Source organism: Homo sapiens, chromosome 1, assembly GCF_000001405.40.
Source record: "Homo sapiens chromosome 1, GRCh38.p14 Primary Assembly".
Classification (NCBI taxonomy): domain Eukaryota; kingdom Metazoa; phylum Chordata; class Mammalia; order Primates; family Hominidae; genus Homo; species Homo sapiens.
Genome location: NC_000001.11, coordinates 90,465,750 through 90,488,934, shown reverse-complemented (window position 1 = coordinate 90,488,934; position 23,185 = coordinate 90,465,750). Strand labels below are relative to the sequence as shown.

Genomic DNA, 23,185 nt, shown 5'->3' with positions numbered 1-23,185 from the left:
AACCATGTAAATGCATGTATGTGTATGTATATTTGTATACACATGTGTTCATGAGTCAGGGATTGGTATCATGTAGAACATTTCCTCATGGAAATTATGGATGTCTGTAGTGGATGCACTTGAGAATACTCCAAATCTATAAACAATCCCCAAGAACGGATATGTTTCCAGATGTCTTACCACGAACGATGAGAGTTAAGAGCTTTCATTAAGAATACAGGCATTTTCCAGGGGTTCTCAGAACACTTGGACAACGCCTGGGATGTGGTGGTAGGAACCTTTAACCACAAAAATGTTTTCTTCTCTGAAATTGAAGTTTTTGTCTTTTAGAGTCATCATTCTTTCATACATTCATAGTCAAATCCACAAGTCTGTTTCAGAAATAATCTTTATGAGCAATAGCTAAACAAACAAGTTAGAGGAACTCAAATCATCTCTCGAGAAGAATCTATCTCTGACTTTCCCAGCATCTCATGTGAATGACTCAATTATAATGACTTTGATAAATAATGCAGTGTTTCTCAAAGTATAATATTTTTTAAGGAATAGTAAGTCTCTGGGATATTAATAGGTGCTATGCCCCCAATAAGGATTCATTGGTCAAATTAATCAATTTTAGAAACACTGAATTAAAGTAAAACAAATTTTTTTACTGTATGACTGCTTAGAGGCTTTTAAATCCAATGTGCCTTGTGAATCTCTAAGCATTTGGAGAGTATAAAGCGTTTCCCGGACACGTAGGAAGATGGAATCCTGTGACCATATCATAGTGTCAGTGTTCTGAGGGCACATTTTGGGAAAGACTAATGTAGTAGGTCTTTTCCATTTCTTATATCTATGATAACTGCCATTTCATCTGAATTTGTTGTAGCTGGGGACTTAACAGGAAATATCAGCTGATGAAGGAAATGCCAGACATTCGTTACTGTAAGGAAATGTATTTACATTATGTTTATTACTTATAGTTGTTTCTGAGGTATAAAACCCTGAAGATAAAAGATACGAGATACATTCTCACATATAAAGAGATTACCATCTAGTTTAGGAAAAAATGCAAAACCAAATCATTTCCATATAATGATGTAATTGCTGGGATAGAGGCATACACAGATAGAATGGAAGCCTAGAGAAGGGAAACTTAGCTAAGCCTAGGCACGTAGGGAAGACTTTCTGGAAAAGGTAATGCCTAACTGACTCTTAAAGAAAAAGTAGGAGTTAACTTTGCAGAAGGTGGGGAGAGGTGGCTTCCAGGTAGGACATCAAAATTATAAGGTAATATAGGTGAGGGTAATTGGAGAACTACCAACATGTGACTTTTAATATTACAGAGAGAGGAATATTACAAAGGCACCACTTTGGAAAAAGAGACTGCAGTATTTGGGAAGACGGAAGGCTGCTAACGTGCTTGGATACAGCACAGCCACTTATTCACCCACGTAGAGAGCTCTCAGGCCACCACCAATATCAACCTTGGGGGTGACCTTTAGATAGAGGAGAGTTTTTTTTAAATCACATCAAAACAAAATACATCTAAAAGTGCCTCAAATAACTACGTGTGGGTCTGTGACAAAAGAGAAAAAGAGCAGTGATGGTCTTCTCAAGCAAAGAGAGGCTTCTGAGAGGAAGATCACGCCTTTCACTCTACCTCATTATACTGTATAGCTGGCGGACTGAGAGGAGAAATGTTTCTCTGTGTAGCAGCTCATTAGCAAAAGAAGAACTCTGACATTAGTTAAAATGTTGATAGATGTGACAGGTGGTGTGAAGACAAGATGGTGTTGTCAAATTGGAGTGGGAGCCCTCCAGCCTTGTGACTTGCTTCATAATAACCAGTTTATGCAGCATATATTAAGCTGCTAAAAAGAGAGTCTTTGTTGAGTAAAACATACTGGGAAAGTACAGATTACTACTTTGTGGTCTGAACCAAGCTATGATTTTCTACATTAAAATTTTTTTTACACTTAGTGCTTATAAATCTCCAAATCTATTATTTGACTATATCTTAGGCCTTTTTAGTTATATGTAGCCGAGTTATCCTCCTTCTCTCTTATGTCCAAATGCTCTATTTGATCATATTCTTTTGCCTAAAAATGTGTCCAGAGCTCCTCTATTGGGGGAAAATGGAAAAAAAAAAAACCAAAAAACAAAATAGAAAACAATAAGAACATCTTTCCCTGATCCAAGAATCCTTTTGAGTTTCCATATAATCTCCTCTGTTTTTCATCACTACACTTCTGGCTAAAGGAGGTTTTTGTTCATTGCTCACCACTTTCAAACCACCCACTCATTCTTTAAACATTTTCAATACAGTTTTAGTTTCCAACATGGTAAGGAAACAGCTCTCTCAAAGACTCTCATTGGCTTCCTAGTAAGCAAATCTGATAGCCATTTAGTTTTTTTATTTTCAGTGTTTATTCTACTTAATGTGTTCACGCATTTGGTGGCACTGATACTATAGTATTCTTTAAAATCTCTACCCTTTTGCTTTAGTGACATATATACCCCTGTTTTTCCTTCTAAGGACTTGGGTGGGAACACCAGGTCTGCCACTTATTGTGTTACTTGGGGCATTTTATTAATATTTAACTTTTCTGAGTCTCAGTTCTCACTCTAAAAGGAGGAAGGGATAATATCTACCTGATAGAATTAGCTCAAAGATTAAAGTGAGGCATCCCATGTAATATCCTCAGTACAGTAGTGACACTCAACAGATACTAGTCCCCCCCCACCCCCTGCCCATCTTTCTGAACCACTTCTCTAGCTCATTCTCTGGATCCTTTTCTTCCTACACTTTAATGTAGTATTCCACAAAGTTCTATTGTTGGCCTTCTTTTCTATATTCCTTTCCTTAAGATCCTCACCAAATACGCATTGCTGTAAGTATTACTTCTATGCTTGACCCTCCAATCTTGACTCAACTTTCTTTCTTGCTATTCATTGTGAACTTTTATGTGGATATTCCCTTTACCTCACAATTAGTGTGTCCAAATCAACTGACATCTTTCCTCCTAAACTTGCGTTCCACCTCTGTCTCTTATTTTTGTTAGTAACACTATCATCTTCCTAACTCCACAGTTAAAAATCTTAATATTGTCTTTGCTCTTTCTTCTCTTTTATCCCTCACATCCAGCCAGTGGTGAAATCCTATAGATTTCAACTGATATATCTCAAACCTCTTAACTTCTTTCCCATTTACCTGTCATTATCCTGTTATAGGCCTCCATGGTCACTGCTATTTTAGTAGGCATTGAGCTAGTCTTCTGCTTTCGCTACTTTCCTCTTACTCCATTTAACGTGCACAGAAATAAACAAGTTGTATTACCATATAATGTTCGTCTTGTCAACCATGTCTCTATGCAAAAAAACTTTTCTTTTTCTTTATTGCCTAAGGAGTCCAGACTGTTTAATGTATTTCTTGATCTGACCCCAAGTCAAATTTCTAATTTTATCTCCAATTTCTTGTATTGCTCCATTCACACTGAATTGTTGATGGTCCTCCACATGCTTCTCTCTTTGGGCTGACTCTTTGGTCTATGCTGCCCTTCCCTCTCCACTTATGTCTGTCGAAACACTACCTGTTCAAAAGCTCAGCTCAAATGGATCTTCCACTTGGGAGAACCACAAAAGTCAACAACAGCTTTACCGACCCCTCTAGTGAGGTGTAATCTTTTCTTCTCCTAAACTCTTGTAGTACTTTATCTGTGTCTATTTTATAGCATGCCATACATCATTCATGAAAAATCAGTGAATGAATTTATATGTATAAAGTTGTGGGTGTGAAAGTTGAGATACTAAGAACTAGGGACTCAATTGCTACCTATGTAGACATTAGGCTGGAGTTGGCAAACTATGACCTGTGGGCTCACCGCCTGTTTTTGGATAGTTCATGAACTAAGAATGACTTTTACGTTAAAAAATGTATTTAATTACAGTGAGACATACGTGACATATAAAAGTTACCATCTTAACCATTTCAAGTGTACATTTCAGTAGTGTTAAGTACATTCACATTGTTGTGCAACCAATCCCCAGAACTCTTTTCATCTTGCAGAATTGAAACTCTATGCCCATTTGTGTTAAGCCATTCTTGCATTGCTATAAAGAAATACCTGAGGCTGGATAGTTTATATTAAAAAAAGATAATTGGCTCACAGTTCTGCAGGCTGTACAAGCATGGCATCAGCATCTGCTCAGCTTCTAGGGAGGCCTCAGGGAGTTTTTACACATAGCAGAAGGTGAAGGAGGAGCAGGCACATCACATGGCAAAAGCAGGAGCAAGAGAGAGTGGCAGAGGTGCCCTATAAACAACCAGATCTCATGAGAACTCACTCATGACCTCGAGGACAGCACCAAGCCATGAGGGATACACCCTCAAGACTCAAACACCTCCCACCAGGCCCCACCTCCAACATTGAGGATTACCTTTGAGCATGAGAATTGGGCAGAAACAAATATCCAAATTCTGTCACCATTAAATAACAACTCTCTATTCTCTCTTTCTCCTAGCCCCTAGTAACCGCCATTCTACTTACTGTCTTTATGAATTTGATTATTCTAGGTACGTCATATAAGTGGAATCACACAGCATTTGTCTTTTTGTGTTTGGCTTATTTCACTTAGCAAAATGTGCTCAGAGTACATACATGTTTTAGCATATTTCAGAATTTTACTCCTTTTTAAGGCTCAATAATATTCTATTGTATGTATATACCACATTTTGTTTATCCATTTGTAATCTTTATTGATAGATATTTGGGGTGTTTCCACATTTTGGCTATTGTGGATAATGCTGCTCTGAACATCTGTGTACAAAAATACCTCTTTGAGATCTTGCTTTCAATTTTTTGGGGCATATTTTTATTTTTTGAGTAACCCTCATACCGTTTTTCATAGTGGCTGTACCATTTTACATCCCTACCAACAGTGTAGAAGTGTTTCAGTTTCTCCACATCCTCACCAATACTTATGATTTTCTGATAGAGATCTTAATTAACAGGTGTAAGGTGGTATCTCATTGTGGTTTTAAATTTGCATTTCCTTAGTGACTAGGGAGGTTGAGCATCTTCTCCTGTGCTTTTTGGCCATTTGTGTATCTTCTTTGGAGAAATGTGTATTCAACTTTTTTCTCCCATTTTTGTTGGGTTTTGTTCGTTGTTGTTGAGTTGTAGGAATTTTTCATATATTCTGTCTATTGATTTCTTATCAGATATATGATTTGCAAATATTTTCTCCCATTCCATAGGTTTCCTTTCATTTTGTTGATTTTTGTCTTTTGATGTACCAAAGTTTTAAAATTTTTTGTAGTCCAACTTACCTCTTTGAACTGTGTGCATTTTTTAATGGTGGGAAAAAATAAAAAGAAAACTAATGTTTTGTGACACATGAAAATTATATGAAATTCAAAGTCCATAAATAAAGATTATTGGAACACAGCCATATGATTCATATAAATACATACATAAGTATTATCTGTGATTGCCTGCATGCTACAAGGGCAGAGTTGAGTAGTTGGGTCAGAGACTGTCTGGCACACAAAGCTTAAAACATTTTCTGTCTTGCTTTTTATTTATTTTTTTTTTTTTGAGATAGGGTCTTGCTCTGTCACTCAGGCTGGAGTGCAGTGGCAATCATAGCTTGCTGCAACCTTGAACACCTGGACTTAAGTGATCTTCCTGCCTCAGCCTCTTGAGTAGCTGGGACTACAGGTGCATGCCACCATGCCTGGCTAATTTTTTTATTTTATTTTATTTTATTTTATTTTATTTTATTTAGTAGAGCCAAGGTCTTGCTATGTTGCTCAGGCTGGTCTCAAACTCCTGGCCTCAAGTGATTCTCCTGCCTTGGCCTCCCAAAGTGTTGGGATTATAGGTGTGAGCCACTGTGCCTGGCTCTATCTTGCTTTTTAAGGAAGAAGTTTGCTGACCCCAGTATTAGGCCACAGTTGGTATTCTTGTTTTGTTCAATGCCTAGTGTAGCATTTTGGGTAGATTATAGACTGGTAATAGGAGGTCCACCTACTACTCCTCATGATTTATTTAGGCAGTAGTAAACTATTTAATAAAGGTAAGGAGGCTCCATAAAGAGGATACTAATGCTTGGAGGTTTTCTCTTGCCCTAACAGAGTACACTGCTTTTAGTAATGCTCTCCATGACAGATGTGGGGCCCCAGAAGAAGAAGGCTGTAGCTGTAGGGTTGGGCCAACAGAGCACTTGGTCCATAAGGCAAAGTGGGCAAAGGCTGGGGCAGCAGGAAGGCTTAAGGGCAGCCTAGCTCTTTTAAATTTCTCAGAAGCATCCATATTGCCGATCCTCTCTGAGAACTGATCGAGTTGCTCAATCCTGCAGGGAATGAGTTCTCAAGCAGTGAAGAGGGGTGACATTAATATGTGATGAATATTTTCCGCAGACTCCCATTGAAGCAGCTCTGTGGGCTTGGGCTTCCCTGGGCTTTGAGACATTTGTGTGTATTCAGTCTTGCCATCTGATGAGATGGAAGACAGCATGATCTTATTGCACATCAGTCACTCCTTAGCACTCTTTTTTCAGATTTTGCAGCATATTTATCCAGTTCTTTGTGACTTTCTACATGGACCCTTTAGCTGGTCACGTGTAGAACAATGGCGGCAGTGTGGACTTCACCCCCTGTTCCATGGTGTTTGGGATAGCTGAGCCTTAGTGTGCAAGGAGAGCAATGAGGAAAGGGAAGACAGCAGATGTGCCATGAGGAATTAGCAACGGAGAATCTGTTTTGTGCTGGGCCTGTTCTTTAGGTAAATCACAAAAGATGCCCTTCTTAAGTAACATCCCACTGAGGACTGATAAAATGTACTATTTCATTACCCGGGATGTGTAAAATAGAGTTCTTCCTATTCCTTCTCAAGTTCTTATATTTCATTAAAATTTTCCCCCAACATCTAGTCTTCTGTAATTTATGCTTTTGTGTCTATTTTCTGATTTTGCACTTTCTTTTGGTTTAGATGATTATACATTAAAACTGGGTTGTGAAAAGCAGAATTATTTAAGATATGATTCACAGACAAGCTGCCAGTCCTTAAACGGTTTGTTGCTGATCTGAGGTGGGATATAGAGCTTGCTCCAGAATTTAACCCAGCTATATCACTATGCATGTTGCTTAACTCAGCTGACATTTATTTTTCTGGCGGCAACTTTCTCAATGAAGGAAGGAGTGGTATCAGCTGGTTGTCTTGTTGCCAACTGGCATTTGAGCACCAATGTAGTAAAAGTTGTTGTTTCCTCTATGAATATGAAATGACAATTTTAAATCTATATTAATTATATTAATTTATTTTGGACTCCAGAAAGTATCATTTCTTTTAAAAGAGACTCAACTCAAAATACCCCTCAGGGAGAATGGGATAACAAGCCAAAGGAATCTGTGTGTTGACTAAAGATTTTGAGTCAAAGTCCACCTGCTGAGGTCAGGGCCTTTTTTTTTTTTTTTTTTTCCCACTTTAGCACATCCCACCCAACATAGCATCTATTAGAGTTAACTGCATTAGGCAGATATTCACTAAGAGCTTGTTGAATGTAATCCTCTTTTTTTTTTTTTTTAAACTAAGCATTTTCTGTGTCTTGTTTGAAGAAATTAAATGACTGAAGTTTCTGAAGAACATTGGTGAGCATGCAGTGACTTTGATCCTGGACAACACCTTCTCACCCCTCGCCGGTGGAGGCCTGATGAGTCTTGTGCCCTTTGCAAGAGGCATCTTTGGTTTCATCAGTCTCTCAGTGTAAGGGAGACTTTCTCATCAGAAGACTTTTTAGTTTTCTCTTTCTAACATTTAACTTCCAAGCAGGAATCACATGTACCCTTAACCCCAAGTTTTATATTTTCGCCAGTGATTTTTTTTAAACTTATAGTCAACATGCTTGAAATTCTGAAAGTTCTTTAAAAAACAAAAACAAATCCCAAACTCTTGTAAGAGTAGAAAAAACAGCTTGACAAAGTAAAATAATCAATTGCAAGTTGGTGAACCTTTAAAGAGCATTAATTCAATTGGATAAACTGCAGTTAAATAACTTTTATCAAGCAAACTGGGTTAGGTGGTTAAAAGCAAGAAAAAAAAGTCCTAAAAACATACAGTGGGTAGCAGTTTATGTGTCAAGAAAAACTGAGAGAATTTTTGAAGCTCTGATGTCTAGCAGATAGCACTTAAATCATTTTTCTCCAAAGTTCAGTCATAGTACTTCAAAGAGTTATAGCCATAATACAAATTTTTAGACTAAGAAGTGGTGTTTGAAGTTATTTTATAGGATTTTGCTGTAAGGGCTCCAATTGATTTGTAGTAAGATAAAAGAAGAAAACTTTATTTTCGAAGCTTTGTCAGAAAAAGCTTACCTCCCATTGGTTGTTCTGCCAATATGCCTGCAGGGCATGATGATGTAGACACTGATATTATATGCTTATATGAACTGAGCTGGGTGTACACCTCCTGCTGTTTGTGTTATGGTTAAAACCTGTCACAAAACTGGTGGTGATTTATTAAATGTTTAATGAAGTAAGACAAAAACTTCAATAACTACAAACAGAAAAGTAGAACATCACATTAAAATATAATATTACATATTACATTTCTATTTTTCTTCCCAATTTTCACTTGCTAAAAATGATAAGGGCACATTTGGAAATTCAGACAGCATAAAAGAAATACTGAGAAGTACCCTTCTTGTTAACAAAGAATATGCTTTAGTTTCATGCTTTACTTTCTTTTTCTTCTCTGTAAGAGAAAGAGAAAAAATTTCTGTTCTGGAGAAACAGAAAATATGCAATCCTTGCTTACTAATAATTTCTTCATTAGATTTTCTATTGATAGTATTCAAACTACACCACTATACATGTAGAATTAGATGACAATTTTGAAGTGTGGAATTAAATGATTAAATGTGCTGTATCTTTTTTTTTTTTTTTTGAGATGTGGTCTCACTGTATTGCCCGGGCTGGAGTGCAGTGGCACAATCTCAGCTCACTGCAACCTCTGCCGCCTGGGCTTAAGTGATCCTCCCACCTCAGCTTCCCAAATAGCTGGGACCACAAGTATGAGCAACCATGCCCAGCTAATTTTTGCACTTTTATAGAGACGGGATTTCACCATGTTGCCCAGGCTGGTCTCGAACTCCTGAGCACAAGTGATCCACCCATCTCGGCCTCCCAAAGGGCTGGGATTACAGGTGTGAGCCATCAGGCCCAGCCTGGTGTATCTATTTTATGATATCCTATATAAATATTGTCTTAATGAACTTTTCTGAGTCCATACATATGAAAGAGCATGATAATAAACAATCACAGAGATGTCTGAAATTTTGTCTTCTTAAAATATATTCTAATTTTTTCCTCTACTATAGAATCTAGGATGTCATTTTAATTTTAAAAAAGGGACGTTTCTCACCTAGCAGCCTGTATGTACCAAGCTAATGTTCATTCTTTGTGTGTGTGTGGATTGGAGGGGGAAGGAAGGAAGATAGTTGCCATTTTCATTTCATTATTATGATACTATCCTCTCTCTCTCTCTCTCTCTATGTATATATATATATATGCATATATATATATATATGCATATATATATGCATATATATATATATATGCATATATATATGCATATATATATGTAAAACAACTCTCTATTTAATAGCTTTGCAGTATCAATTTGCAGTATAAGTGATTACTTATGTTTATTGATTCTGGTTTACTTAATCCTTGTAATGGAGATTCACACACTAGGTAAAGATGGTATTTTGAAAGTACAGAAATATTGATTTTGTTTTAAGCATAAAATTCCTATATGACTATATAAACAGCTTGCTTGTGTTAAAATTTCTAAAAGGTCTTGCCATTTATGTTATTAGATACAGCCTGGCTTACTAGAAGGTCATTTCTCCTTGGACTTGGTTGATATGAACTAAAAAAATAAAATCCAATAAAATAATTCAGTGATTTACTTGGGAGAGGGATGGCATACCAATTAACTGATGGGCTGAATTTTTTGCTTTTTAACTGTCCTCCACGTTTAGTAGATTTAGACCACATAATGAATTTATCTAGAAATTTTAGCTTCCAAATTTTTGCTCAATTCATTCATATTTATTCACAGAACAATAACTGAATACCTATTGTGCATGTCCTATGGGGAATAGCAGTTAGAAAAACAGGTAAGGTCTCTGCATTATTGGAATTTACAGTCTAATTAAGGAGACAACAAAAAGCAAAAACAAAAAGTTTACAATACATTCTATGAAGAAAGCAGTGCTGTTATTAAAAACTTGGAATTTCTTCAAATCAATCAAAATAGGGTGACTTATGCTAATATCATAAGGACTTGACTGAGCAGTCAAGTGAATGATCACACAATTGCAATTGACCAAACAACTCAAGTATTTTTCATGATTCTAATTATTTCCATTATCTAAGTATATCAAGTAAACAACTACGGAGTAATCTGATCAATGAATTATTGATCTAAGAACTACTGGTCTGGTTAAACAGATCTTTTAAAAAGAGGTTGTATGACTGTTTCTAGCTTAAATCAGTACTTTATTAGTATTTTTGCTTCACCATTTTAAACAATTTGCCTGTAAATAAAATTTTTATTCAAAAATTAGAACTTAGGCTATTCATTATTTCAGAATTAATCTCAAAAATCCCTTTGAGGTAATAACGTGTTACAACAATTAGTCTTCTAATTCTTCCCCAAAGACAGAGCTATGAATAAATAGTTTGGATTTCATCTAGTATATTGAGATAGATTTAAATCTCCATTTGGAAAAGTGTTTTGGTCGTAATGTTAAATAGCTAATTTACAAATCAACCCCGAAACAGAGGGACAGAGTGGGCCTAGAAAGGGGCAGGATGTCTCGAGCCTTGGTTTCTAGTATTGATCGTGCAACAACTCTGAGAAACCATAGGTAAATTCATTCAAGTCAATGGTTTATTTCATATAGGCCGTTCAAATCTTTACAAAAAGTGACCTGTCCTTAAGGACATTAATACTATTTGCTTATGAGGAAAAAACTATTTTATTAATAGTATATGATGAAATAAAGTCACAGTAATAAAGAAGTATCAACTAGGAATTATCATTCTTCAAATGATATATAAATCATATATAGATGAGAAAATCTGAAAAAGCTCCACACAGGAGCTAGCTTGCAAAATAGGCCCTGAAAGTAGACAAAATTTCAATAAGCAAAGATGGATAAATGCAGGTTTCTAGAGAGATAGCTTACCATGAACAAAGGAATGGAGGCAGGAAAGTGTATGTCAATTTCAGTGACTCAAAACTACATACTGTAGAATAAAACATTTTCTACCTCTCTTCTCCCCTAGTATTTCAGTATTCCCTTTTACTTCGTGTGTTATTGAATGTAAAGTTGCATTTTGAATTCTTCTCTAATTGTTCTGCACCAGTGCAAGGGAATACAAAATCAGCTTTGACAAAATGCACCACACATAGGTGCACAATAAATATTTGTTCAATAAATGAATAAAAGAATGAGTCTCTGTTCCCCATCCCCTCTTTTCTTTCCTTCCAACTTTTTCTCTTTGGCCCTGAGAAATCAACAGCTCAAAGATCTTAGAAGCAGAAAAGTGATTCAGAAAAGTCATTTTCAAGCAGGTCCTCTTAGCGGTCAGTCCCCATGGAAGCAACCTAATTTATGTCAGCTTTGGTTTACACTACGGGAGGATTACCCTCCTGTTCCTGAGGTACTTCTCAGTAAAACTGAGAAAGTTTGTAGTTCATCACTTTTTCTTTTGTTACTTCCTGTGGCTAGTGGAGTGATAGTTAAGGGTGCTACAGTGACAGCTAGCTAGCCAAGGGGCAAAACAAAGTCAATTGTCTTGGGAGAGCTCTAATCCACTCATTTAAGAAAAAAGAGACCCTTTGGTTTGTGGGCTTCCAGGGTTACTTTCACCCGGAATCTCATTTAGTCAGCTTGGTTTCATGACTTCCCTATGTCTGATAGGATAATTCTGCACTATCCTAACACAGCCAACACATATGTCCAGGAAGGCCAATGGCATTAAAAAATATTTTTGTAAGACGCTGCAACGTTTCTAAAAATTTTAAATCATCTCTATTTGCTTGTATTTTTTCACTCAAAAATGTTTTTCACCACATTTAATCAAATTCCAAAAAGAGTAGATTTGGGGAGTTGTAGATGTTGGTGATGGTTACCCCTAGCCTTGGCATTCATGTCAAGGTTCCTGTCCTGCCAGCATGTCACAATGCTGCCAGGGATGGCATTTGTTGTTTGCCCTCATCTCTGTGGGATTCTCACCAAGCACCACTGTGAACAGCTTATTCCTCTATTTCCTTTCCTGACAACTCTGGGGATTTGAGTGGATGCATTGCCAGATTTCCCCAGACCGAGTGCCATACTGAAACAATTGGAGCTAAAGACACCATTCCACATTATACTTTGGCACACATTATTGGTATCTGCAGGTAGTTTTATGCCTTGTTAGTAGGTGGAATTTTAGAAAGGCATCACACTGCTTTTAAATACCTTCTGTGCTTCACAGATTCATCATAATAATCACCCAAATTGACAGAAAAATTTCAACCTTAATTTGCTTAGCAGTCATGGAAGATAACACAGTGTGAATGGTTCCTCTGAACAAGCTATAATTGTTTTGTTATACCCATGTATTACCCTTCTCAGAAAAGGAAGGAATCTATAACAAGACAGCCTGTTGAGCCTGCTAAATGAGAAAAATGAAGCTTAATTAAAAGATCTGTCTTTGCAATAAGGGAATTGTGTGTGTGTGTGTGTGTGTGTGTGTGTGTGTGTGTGTGTGTGTGTGTGTGTGTATTCCTTCCTCATTATGAAAGATTCTGGGATAAATACTTCAATCATACTTTTATAATTATTTGCAAGCACGACAAATGCCATGCTGGGCTTCATTACATAACCTGCATTGCTGTGTTTTATTTTGCCTGTGTCAATAGGAAATGTAGCAGAAAATGGTTGGCCAGCTACTTTGGAAGTCCAGAGCTACGTTATTAAAATCAGAAACATCCACTGCTAGGATAAAAATGCAAATATATGCACCACTTTTCTTCTTGCTTAGTCCACAGGACATCTAGTGGTAAGCTATGCAGTAGCAGCAACTAGCTGAGGCTTCTGTTAGTTTTTACTGTTGCTAGTACTTTCGGGCTGGCAATCCTTTATTATACTGCTGGGGAAACAGAAAACTGACCATCTGTCCCAATTGTAAAATGTTTTATGGAAAATAAGTACAAGCTCATCAGTCAGATTTAAAAAATCAATTGGCATCTCTGTAATTTTAGTGGAAAGATGACTTCAAAAGAAATTTAGATATAAACTATAGATTATTATTAAAGCAACAAATTTTGAGCTTTAATAATACTACAGCATTCTCATGGATAACTTCTCTTTCCTGAACATTGTGATGAACTTTATAAGTAATCCAATTTTTTGTTGTTCTCAGAGTTTTGCTTTCAAAACTTTCTACTTCTACTTAGGCAGGGTTATTTTTAAAGATAATATAAAACAATAAATATGTTTTATGTATTCATTACTGATTATTTAGTGTTTGCCCTTAAATATCCATGAATATTGCCTTCCATTATGGAATATGTAGATGAAAATGGAAACTCTAAGAAATGAATAACGTGCTGCAATGAACAATATCCAAAAGGCAGGGCATTTTCTTCTGCATGAATTGCAAGAATTTGGTTTCCCAAATCGATTTCAGAAATCTATGTGATTGCATTCCTTTAATTGCATTTTAAACCAATATCTAACATAATTATGGACACAAACTCTTATGATGTGGCTATTAGTAGGTTAATTAGGTAATAATGAATAAGATGCCATAGCTTAGCATAGAGTTAGCACAATGGGATTTGTTTCAGCATGAAATGAAGTTGTGTTAAAAATTTAATCTTTATGTGCTAATATGCACAAAGCATACCTTGTTAATTATTGCCAAAGGATTCTTTCTACTTCTGAGCACTAACAAATGAGTCATTCAGAAACAGATCACGTTTTGTAATCTGTACATGCAGATTAGTTTGACAAAGTCTAAAAGATGTAAAAATCATTTAGCATGTTAGTATAAATACTACATACAGCATAACAAGCCAGCTTTAAAGATTATAATATGGAATACTAATGTTTTAAATAAATGGTGTTGATATTATTTTCAGTTTTAAACTTAAAGTGAAAAGCATTCAAATCTGTGTATCAAAGTATATATTTATTATTATTTTGCCTTCTCAATTCCTATTGTATCATCATTGAAGATATTTTATCAGCACTGAAGATCAATTGCTTTTGAAATTAATAGTGGTAATTAACTACTGATGTTGGTTTGCAGAAATAGTACTAACTTATGACAGATTAAATTAAGTGTGCAAATACAATTACTGAAGTAGTGTCTAATTTTCATGATGTTTTGGTATCATTCACATCTATAAATCCCCATGGAAGCATCCAATTTATGTCAGCTTTGGGTTACACTACAGGAGGATTACCCTCTTGTTCCTGAGGTACTTCTCATGAAACTGAGAAAGTTTGTAGTTCATCACTCTTTTTCTTTTGTTACTTCCTGTGGCTACTGGAGAGACAGTTAAGGGTGCCATAGTGAGAGCAAGCTAGCCAAGGGGCAAAACAAAGCAAAAAATTTTACTACAAAAACTATACTAAAAATGAGATTATTTGCTTCATTATTTGTGACTCGAATTTGAAATGAATAGCCAAATAGGAAGCAATTATGTGAAACAATTTTGTTCGCTGGAGATGAAATAATTACTTAATCATCTGTTTTGTATAGATAAGGCACTGAGGTTCACAAACTCATGTTTGTGAGATGGTATTTAAACACTTTGTAGCAGACTGGTTTCTAAGAAATATTTTATTATGCTGTCTTGTATATATTATGTAATATGACCGACAAGTGAGATATATGAGTATGACTTTGTGGCACTAGGAGGCCCAAGCAAAAGTAACTCTTTTCCCCCACTCATTCAGAACCAGTTGAGACATAGGCACAAGGATCAGGCAGATTGAATTCAAAACCTTAGCTTTTTGGTGTATTTTAACTGATAAAACTTCACTGGGGAAAGCTTTTGGCAAAGTGGGCTTGCTAATCGTTCACCCTGATTAATCTGGCTTATCTACCTGGTCACAGAGGTCCTACTTCCTCTGCGTCTAATGAAGCAGAGACTGTTTTGCTAAGTTTATCATTTGGCCAAAAGATCGGGTGAGAGTGCACCTTTGCTATGGATAGGCAGAACTCATGTGTACAATAGAGAAGGGTGGGGCTGAGCAGAGCTGCACTTGCTCAGTACCTCTCTGAAACTCACCAGTCAGTCTTCTTTCAAGGTAGCTGTTACCAACCAAATCATGTCCCCTGACCCTCCTTCCAAATTCATATATTGAAGGCTGGGCGCTGTGGCTCATGCCTGTAATTCCAGCAGTTTGGGAGGCCAAGGCAGGTGGATCATTTGAGGTCAGGAGTTCAAGATCATCCTGATCAATATGGTGAAACCCCGTCTCTACTAAAAATACAAAAAAATTAGCCAAGCATGGTGGCACAGGCCTGTAATCCCAGCTACTTCAGAGGCTGAGGCAGGAGAATCATTTGAACCCAGTGGGTGGAGGTTGCAGTGAGCCAAGATCATGCCATTGCACTCCAGCATGGGCAACAAGAGCGAAATTCCATCTCAGAAAAAAAAAAAATTCATATATTGAAGCCCTGACCTGCAATGTGACTATATTTGGAAACAGAACCCTTAAAGTGGTAATTAAGGGTAAAAGAAGTCACTTGGGTGGGGCTCTAATTCTATAGGTCTGGTTTTCTTATAAGAAGTGGAGGAGACACCAGGGATGCTCACACACAGGGAAAAGGCCATGTGAGGACACAGCGAGAAGGCAGCCATCTGCATGCCAAGGTGAGAGGCCCCAGGAGAAATCATTCCTGTGGGTACCTTGATCTTGTGGTTCCAGCCTCCAGAGCTGTAAGAAAATCAATGTCTGTGGTATTTTGTTGTGGTAGCTATAGTAGACTAATATAGTAGCCAAGAGTATTACTCCAGAGGAGGTGCCTCCATGTAGAATTATTAGGACTGGGGAATAAGTTTTATTCTGACATAAGCTATTGTTCACAGATGTCCATCCTGTCTCCTGGACTAGATTATGAAGGTCTCAAGTTCAAAGACTATGTATTCTGCTTCTTTATCTTGGCCAAGTTAATTAGCACATATGTACTCAGTAAATACTTCAAGATTAATAATGTTTTTGCCTTTATAGAGTTTTCTGCCTTTTAAATTTTGTTATTTTCTTTTCCCTAAAAACTATGTATTACACTACCTGTGACCATCTTCATTAGTAGTGGAAGAGAACTAAATCTCCTGCTAGAAAGCTTTGCTTCTAAGGGAGGAAGTTAATTATTGTGAATTTACATTATATCACCTTTATCCAATGCAAAGTTTTTTGCTAAAAGAATTGCAACGTGAAAGTTAGATAATCTAATTACAGTTACCAAGAAGATATAGTTGCTTGTGGGTTTGTGTTCAATGTGTAACTGGAGCCTATTTAGCATTTTTAAACAATTTTCTATTTTCAAATGTATTTAGATATTTTTAAAAGTTGCGAAAACAGTGCAGTTTTCATATTCCCGTCACCGGATTACCCTATTGTCCACATACTATATAGCCATAGTGTAATTACAGAAACAGGGAAATTAATATTGATACAATCTATTAATGAGGCTCCAGACCTTATTAGATGTTGACCCATTGTTCCACTAGTGTCCTTCTTCCGGACATTTACCATCTTGCACTTAGTTGTCCTCTGTTTCCCCTAATTGTGGCATGATCTTTCATGACCTTGATGCGTTGGAAGAGTGCTGGTGGATCATTCTGTAGAATATCCCGCAATTTCTGTTTTCAGTTTTCTCACGATTGGATTTACATTAAGCATTTTTGGCTAGAACACTGAAAGTAAGGTGACATTCTCAGTGTATCATACCAGGTGTGATGTCGATATAACTTATTACCTGTGATAGTAACTTGGAATATTTGGTAAAGGTGGTTTCTGCCAGGTTTCTTCATTGTGAAGTTACTCTTTCCCTCTTTTTAATCAATAAGTATCTTCCTATTTTAGCATCTATTGATGATTCTTGCCTGTAACACTTATTTCTATGGTGTTTGCCTAATGGTAATTTTTAAGTTTCATCATTCCTGTTACTTTATTAATTGCGATACTACAGGAAGAAACAGCAGCCTCTTCTCTCATTTATTTTATCTCTATTATGGATATAAACATATAAATAAGGATTCATGAATATTTCTTTTTTCTGCTTGTTTATTGTAATTCAATACCATCATTTATTTTGTTGCAGGAGCCCATTATAAAAGCATAGAAAAGTTTAAATATACAAATTCTAAATGTCAATAAAGTCACTCTTCTAAAACCAATTACAGTAGCTCCTCCTTTTTTTTATAGTTTCAGTTACCTGTACCCAGCTGTGGTCAGAATATAAGTTAAGTACAATAGGATAGAGAGAGAGAGAGACCACATTCACATAACTTTTATTACAGTATATTCTTATAATTGTTCTATTTTATTGTTAGTTTGTTATTTATCTCTTACTGTGCCTAATTTATAATTAAACTTTATCATAGTTATGTATGTATAGGAAAAAAACACAGTGTATAAGGGGCTCCGTAATATCTGTGGTTTCAGGCATCCACTGGGGATCTTGGGATGTATCATCTGCAGATAAGGGGGAACTACTATAATATTAGACTTAGGCTTGAAATTATGTGGCTAACAGGTTGTGAAGTAAATGTGTTAGTTACTTTGAAAAATAAAAATAGTACAAGGTAGTCTATGCCTTCAATGAGTTAGTATAATAATTGGGGAAAGAGAAAGACACCCAAAAAGATACAATGATATTGCATTTGTACAGTAGCACAGCAAGAGACAATCTGCATTTCATAACCCAATGAGGCAGTAAGTGTTCAAGCACTAAGGATGGGGAGAAGGCCTCTGTGCATCCTGCCAAGAGCTGACCACCAAGGACCTGTTCAGCAAAGGCCTGTTTCACATGCTACTCTGACCTGGAAGAAAATTATAAGATGAATACTGTATTTCCTGAACAAAACAAAGAAAGAATATCCTTCCTCATACCTTCTTCTCACTTACCATTTTCCTCAAGGGTAAATTTTGAGTGTTTATTTATGCATGAAAGTACAACAAAGTAAATTAACTTTTCGTATAAATTTTCATAACCTGACTGAAGCTACCTCTTTGTCCCTATTTTTTATTTTCTTCTTTAAATTCCACACCCCATCTCATTCTAGGCAAATGAAACTTAATTTTCCAGATTCAACACATTTCCATACCTCTGTACATGCCATTCCCGCTATCTGGAATGCTTTTCAACATATCTTTGGGAAATTTCTTCTCATCCTTTAAAACCCATCTTAAAAATCACCACCTCTTGGAAGAAACCATCAACTCCCTGAAACACGTTCTAGTTTTCTGTCCCAGTGCTCCTGTGGTTCTTTATGTGGGCATCTGTTTTAGATCTTACCATGCAGATGCCAATTAACCTGTCTCCTCTCATAGTTGCCTCCTCCATTGCATTGAAACCTCACTGAGGACCCTGGCTCTGTCTTACACAGTATTATGCCTCTGTCTCTAGCGGGAACTGCATCTGGAACAGAGCAGGTGCTTGGTAAATGTGTGTTGAATGAATGCACAGTCGAATAATAAAACATTTTCACAAATATTCCCACTTCTTTCTTTTCAAGACCGTATTTCATTATACTTCCATGAATTGCCAACATCACGCATCACCGTTTTTGGTATGAAGTGCTTTGTTTTAGACCATGGTAGTTACATCATTGAGAAGATTTATTCCTGTTATTGAATGTTAGTTCTGGAAATGGTTGAATTGAATATCTAGTTAGCCACCAATGTTGTAATACTTAGAATAGGATTCAGGATCGTAGCATATTGAGGGTGCCAAAAATGTTTCATTTTCCTTTTAAAACAATTCTGGGTGGTATTAAATCTGTTGCTGTATTTAATACTTCAACTTCTGAGTATGGGAAAAAGTAAGTCAATAAATATGTGTACTTTATTTTATAAAATAGTTGTGTCATGAAAATGTCCTGTTCTAACTTTAAAGTTTTATAATTGCACATTTAAATCATTTTGAATCTTCTCTAAGGAGTGCTATTTTGCTAAGTGAAAAAAAATTCTAGTTCAGATAATCTTCAATATATCTGAGTTTAATATATGAGATTTAATATTCTAGGTTTTCTTAAAATAAGCTCTCCTTTCAATTTAGAAAATATTATTTGATGTTTCTAGATGTAAAAATAATTATATAGGGGAATTCTCATGAGAACAATGAATGATATTTTAAAACATTTAGATAATTGGGAAACTTAAACTTCAAATTATTTCACTGGAGACAAATTTAACATTTTTTTTTTTGTAAATTCAACGGATACAAGTACAGTTTTATTACATGGATATATAGTCTGGGCTTTTAGTGTAACCACCATCCAAATAATATACATGGTACCCATTAACTAATTTCTCATCCCTCATCGTTTTCCCACTCTCCTGAGTCTCCACTCTCTATTATTCCACATTCTACTTCCATATGTACACATTATTTAACTCCCACTTGTGAGAATATGTGGTATTTGACTTTCTGCATTGTTTCACTTAAGATAATGGCCTCCAATTTCATTCATGTTGCTGCAAAAGACATGATTTCACTCTTTTTATGACAGAATATATCCCATTGTATATATAGACCACATTTTTTTTTATGAGTCATCCACTGATAGACACTTAGGTTGATTCCATGTCTTTACTATTTTGAATTGTGCTGTGATAAACATAAGAGTGCAGGTATCTTTTTGATATAATGACTTATTTTCCTTTGTAGTGGGCTTGCTGGGTCAAATGGTAGTTCTACTTTCAGTTCTTTGAGAAATCTTTATACTATTTTCCAGAAAGGTTGAACTAATTTACATTCCCATCAACAATGTGTAAGCATTCCCTTTTCTCTACATCCTCACCAATATCTGTTATTTTTTTATTTTTAAATAGCAGCCATTCTGACTGATATAAGACAATATCCCACTGTGGTTTTAATTCACATTATTGTGATGATTAGTGACATGGAGAATTTTTTTCATATGCTTGTTGGCCATTTGTATGTCCTCTTTTGAAAAATGTCTATTGAGTTTTTTTTGTCTACTTTTTAATGGGGCTATTTGTTTTTGTTTGTGTTGAGTTGTTTGAGTTCCTTGTAGATTCTGGATATCAATCTCCTATCAAATGCATAGTTTGCAAATATTTCCTCCCATTCTGAAGGTTGTCTGTTCACTATGTTGATTATTTGTTTTGCTCACAGAAGCCTTTTAATTTAATTGAATTTGGTCCCATTTGTCTATTTTTGGTTTTGTTGCTTCTTCTTTTTAGATCTCAGTCATGAATTCTTTGCCTAGACCAATATCCAGAAGAGTTTTCCCTGTTTTTTTTCTAGTATTTTTTTAGTTTCACATCTTACATTTAAGTCTTCAATTCTTCTTGAGTTAATTTTTTTATATGGTGAGAGACAGGGGTACAGTTTTATTCTTCTGCATATGACAATTCCTTTTCCTGGCACTGTTTATTGAAAAGGGTGTCCTTTTCTCAGTATATATTTCTGTCAACTTTGTCAAACATCAGTCGGCTGTAGATATATTGGCTTTATTTTTGGATTCTCTATACTGTTCCATTGATCTATGTGTCCATTTTTATACCAGTACCTTTCTGTTTTGGTTAATATAGCCTTGTAGTGTATTTGAGGTCAGGTAATCTGATGCCTGAAACTTTGTTCTTTCTGCCTTGCTTTGGTTGTTTGGGCTTTTACAGGGGTTCCATATTCATTTTAGAATTGTTTTTCCTAATATTTGAAAAATAATGTTGGTATTTTGATAGGGGTTGCATCAAATCTGTAGATTGCTTTGGGCAATATGGTCATTTTAATGATATTAATTCTTCTGACAAATTTAAGATTTAAGTTGCATCTTTAAAACCCAGAAACCTACAGTTGTTACCTATAGGGCAATATTTTATTTTATTTTTATTTATTTATGTATTTATTTATTTATTTGAGTCAGAGTCTTACTCTGTCGCCCAGGCTGGAGTGCAATGGCATGATCTTGGCTCACTGCAATGTCTGCCTCCCAGGTTCAAGCAATTCTCCTGCCTTAGCCTTCTGAATAGCTGGGATTATAGGCCCTCAGCACCAGACCCGGCTAATTATTGTATGTTTAGTAGAGACACAGTTTCACCATGTTGGCCAGGCTGGTCTCAAACATCTGACCTCAAATGATCCACCCGCCTCAGCCTCCCAAAGGGCTGGGATTACAGGCATGAGCCACCGTGCCTGGCCACCTATAGGAAAATATTTTAATTTTGATTAGTTGACCCACATAAAAAAAAACAACAACTAATGATTGCTTCATTCCTTAGGCTCCAAGAAGAATTAAAAACGCAGCACATAGATATTAAACAGCATTGAGCATTCCACGTAGATATAATAATTAAACAAATTTATTTGAAAATGAAGTATTTTGCCTTAATTACCCAGCATTTGTCTTAAGTAAATTAACTCCTTTGCTATTATATGTACTATTGAATTACATAAAAAAAAATTAAGAGTTTGTGTTCAGTAACATGGTTTTATTACAGAGGATTCTAGCAAATGATCATGCTTAATACATTCATTAGTGTAAACTTGTAAAGCTGTTCTTTGAGTCTACTGACCTAACCAGGCTTTAAAAAATCAAACTACCCTTTTCAAATATTGTACATGGGTCTATTTCCACAACCAGAAAGATCTGACAGTTCCTCTCCAGCATCTTGCCTTTGTATAGTTGCACTTTTGAATCTAATGAATACCAATGATGAGTTCGCACAACAAGGAAAAAAATCTACTTTATACATCTTTTCATAGAGGAATAGGTCTGCAGTGTTTAGGGACTACGCATCATATTCTAGGCTTGATACTTGAATGGAAGTTGTGGGTTTTTTTTTTTTTTTTTTTTAGCAATTCAGTACAGAAAGTACAGATATTGTACTGTATTAAAGACATTGGACTTCCATGGAAGCAATGTTTAGTTCCCTCTGAGAGGCCTGGACAGTGTCCATGAGGTCCATGGGCCTCCTTCTTGTCTGTTTGCATCTCAGGTCATGTGGTTACACTGTTTCCAGGAGGGTAAGTGGAATATGAGAATGTGACTCTGAAGAAGCCGAATCAAATACGGATGACATTGCCAGTTTTCATCATCTAGTAGTTTTCATCTCTTCTTTCCTTAAGAGTACCTACCTAACTATATTACAAGGCATCCTGCGATTAATGCAATGAATGGCATAGAGAAGAATTGTAATAATTACAATGGGAGAGCTAATGTATATATACATCTATATATTATATGCTTAGATAATTAGAAAAGGCATATATATGCCATTTATATAGACATACATATATATTGTCATAAATATATGCATGTATACACAGCAATGTGTGTGTGTAGGTGAGGCCAACTAGTTTGGAATGCTGGAAAGGACATAGGACATGACACCAAAGATCTGGATTCCAATCTCACTTCTGCCACTTATAAACCAGGTCACGCTGGATAAATGCCTTCAAGTTCTGAGCTCCAGTTTAATGGTATGTTAAAACAGTGTTTTTATATTTATCCTAGCTACACTCTCTGACAGAATTATAAGAATCGAATGGGATTTTACATGTGAAAAATCCATGATTTGTCAGGTGTAAAGCACTTGTTCAATGTATGTTAACGTTGACTGACATTTTCTAAAGCAGCTATGATGTGCCATACTTAAAATATGTACAAGACACAGCCCTCACAGACTGTCTTCAATTAAATTACCCTAAATGGGTGTGGGAGCTGAGGGGAATGGTCAGGTAGAAACTTTATATGCCATATGATAAGCCTGATATTAAATTCATATCAGTATAAGTTATTTAGGAAATACAGAGAAGTGGCTTATAGCTCAGTGTGTGGGGAGAAGGAGGACCAGAAGAAAGTTTCTTGAAGAGACGTTGCCTGGGCTCAGTCTTCAAGAGTGAGGAGTTAAAGGGGCAACGTAGGAAGAA

General features: G+C 36.0%; 1 long non-coding RNA gene across 1 annotated transcript; it reads left to right on the top strand.

Annotated features, from left to right (window-relative positions):
* The first annotated feature begins 784 nt into the window (after window positions 1-784).
* Window positions 785-13,105, top strand: LOC105378851 (uncharacterized). Its single transcript, XR_947591.3, has 3 exons — window positions 785-927; window positions 10,110-10,167; window positions 12,966-13,105. It is a non-coding gene; the product is annotated as an uncharacterized LOC105378851 (long non-coding RNA).
* Window positions 13,106-23,185: the final 10,080 nt, after the last annotated feature.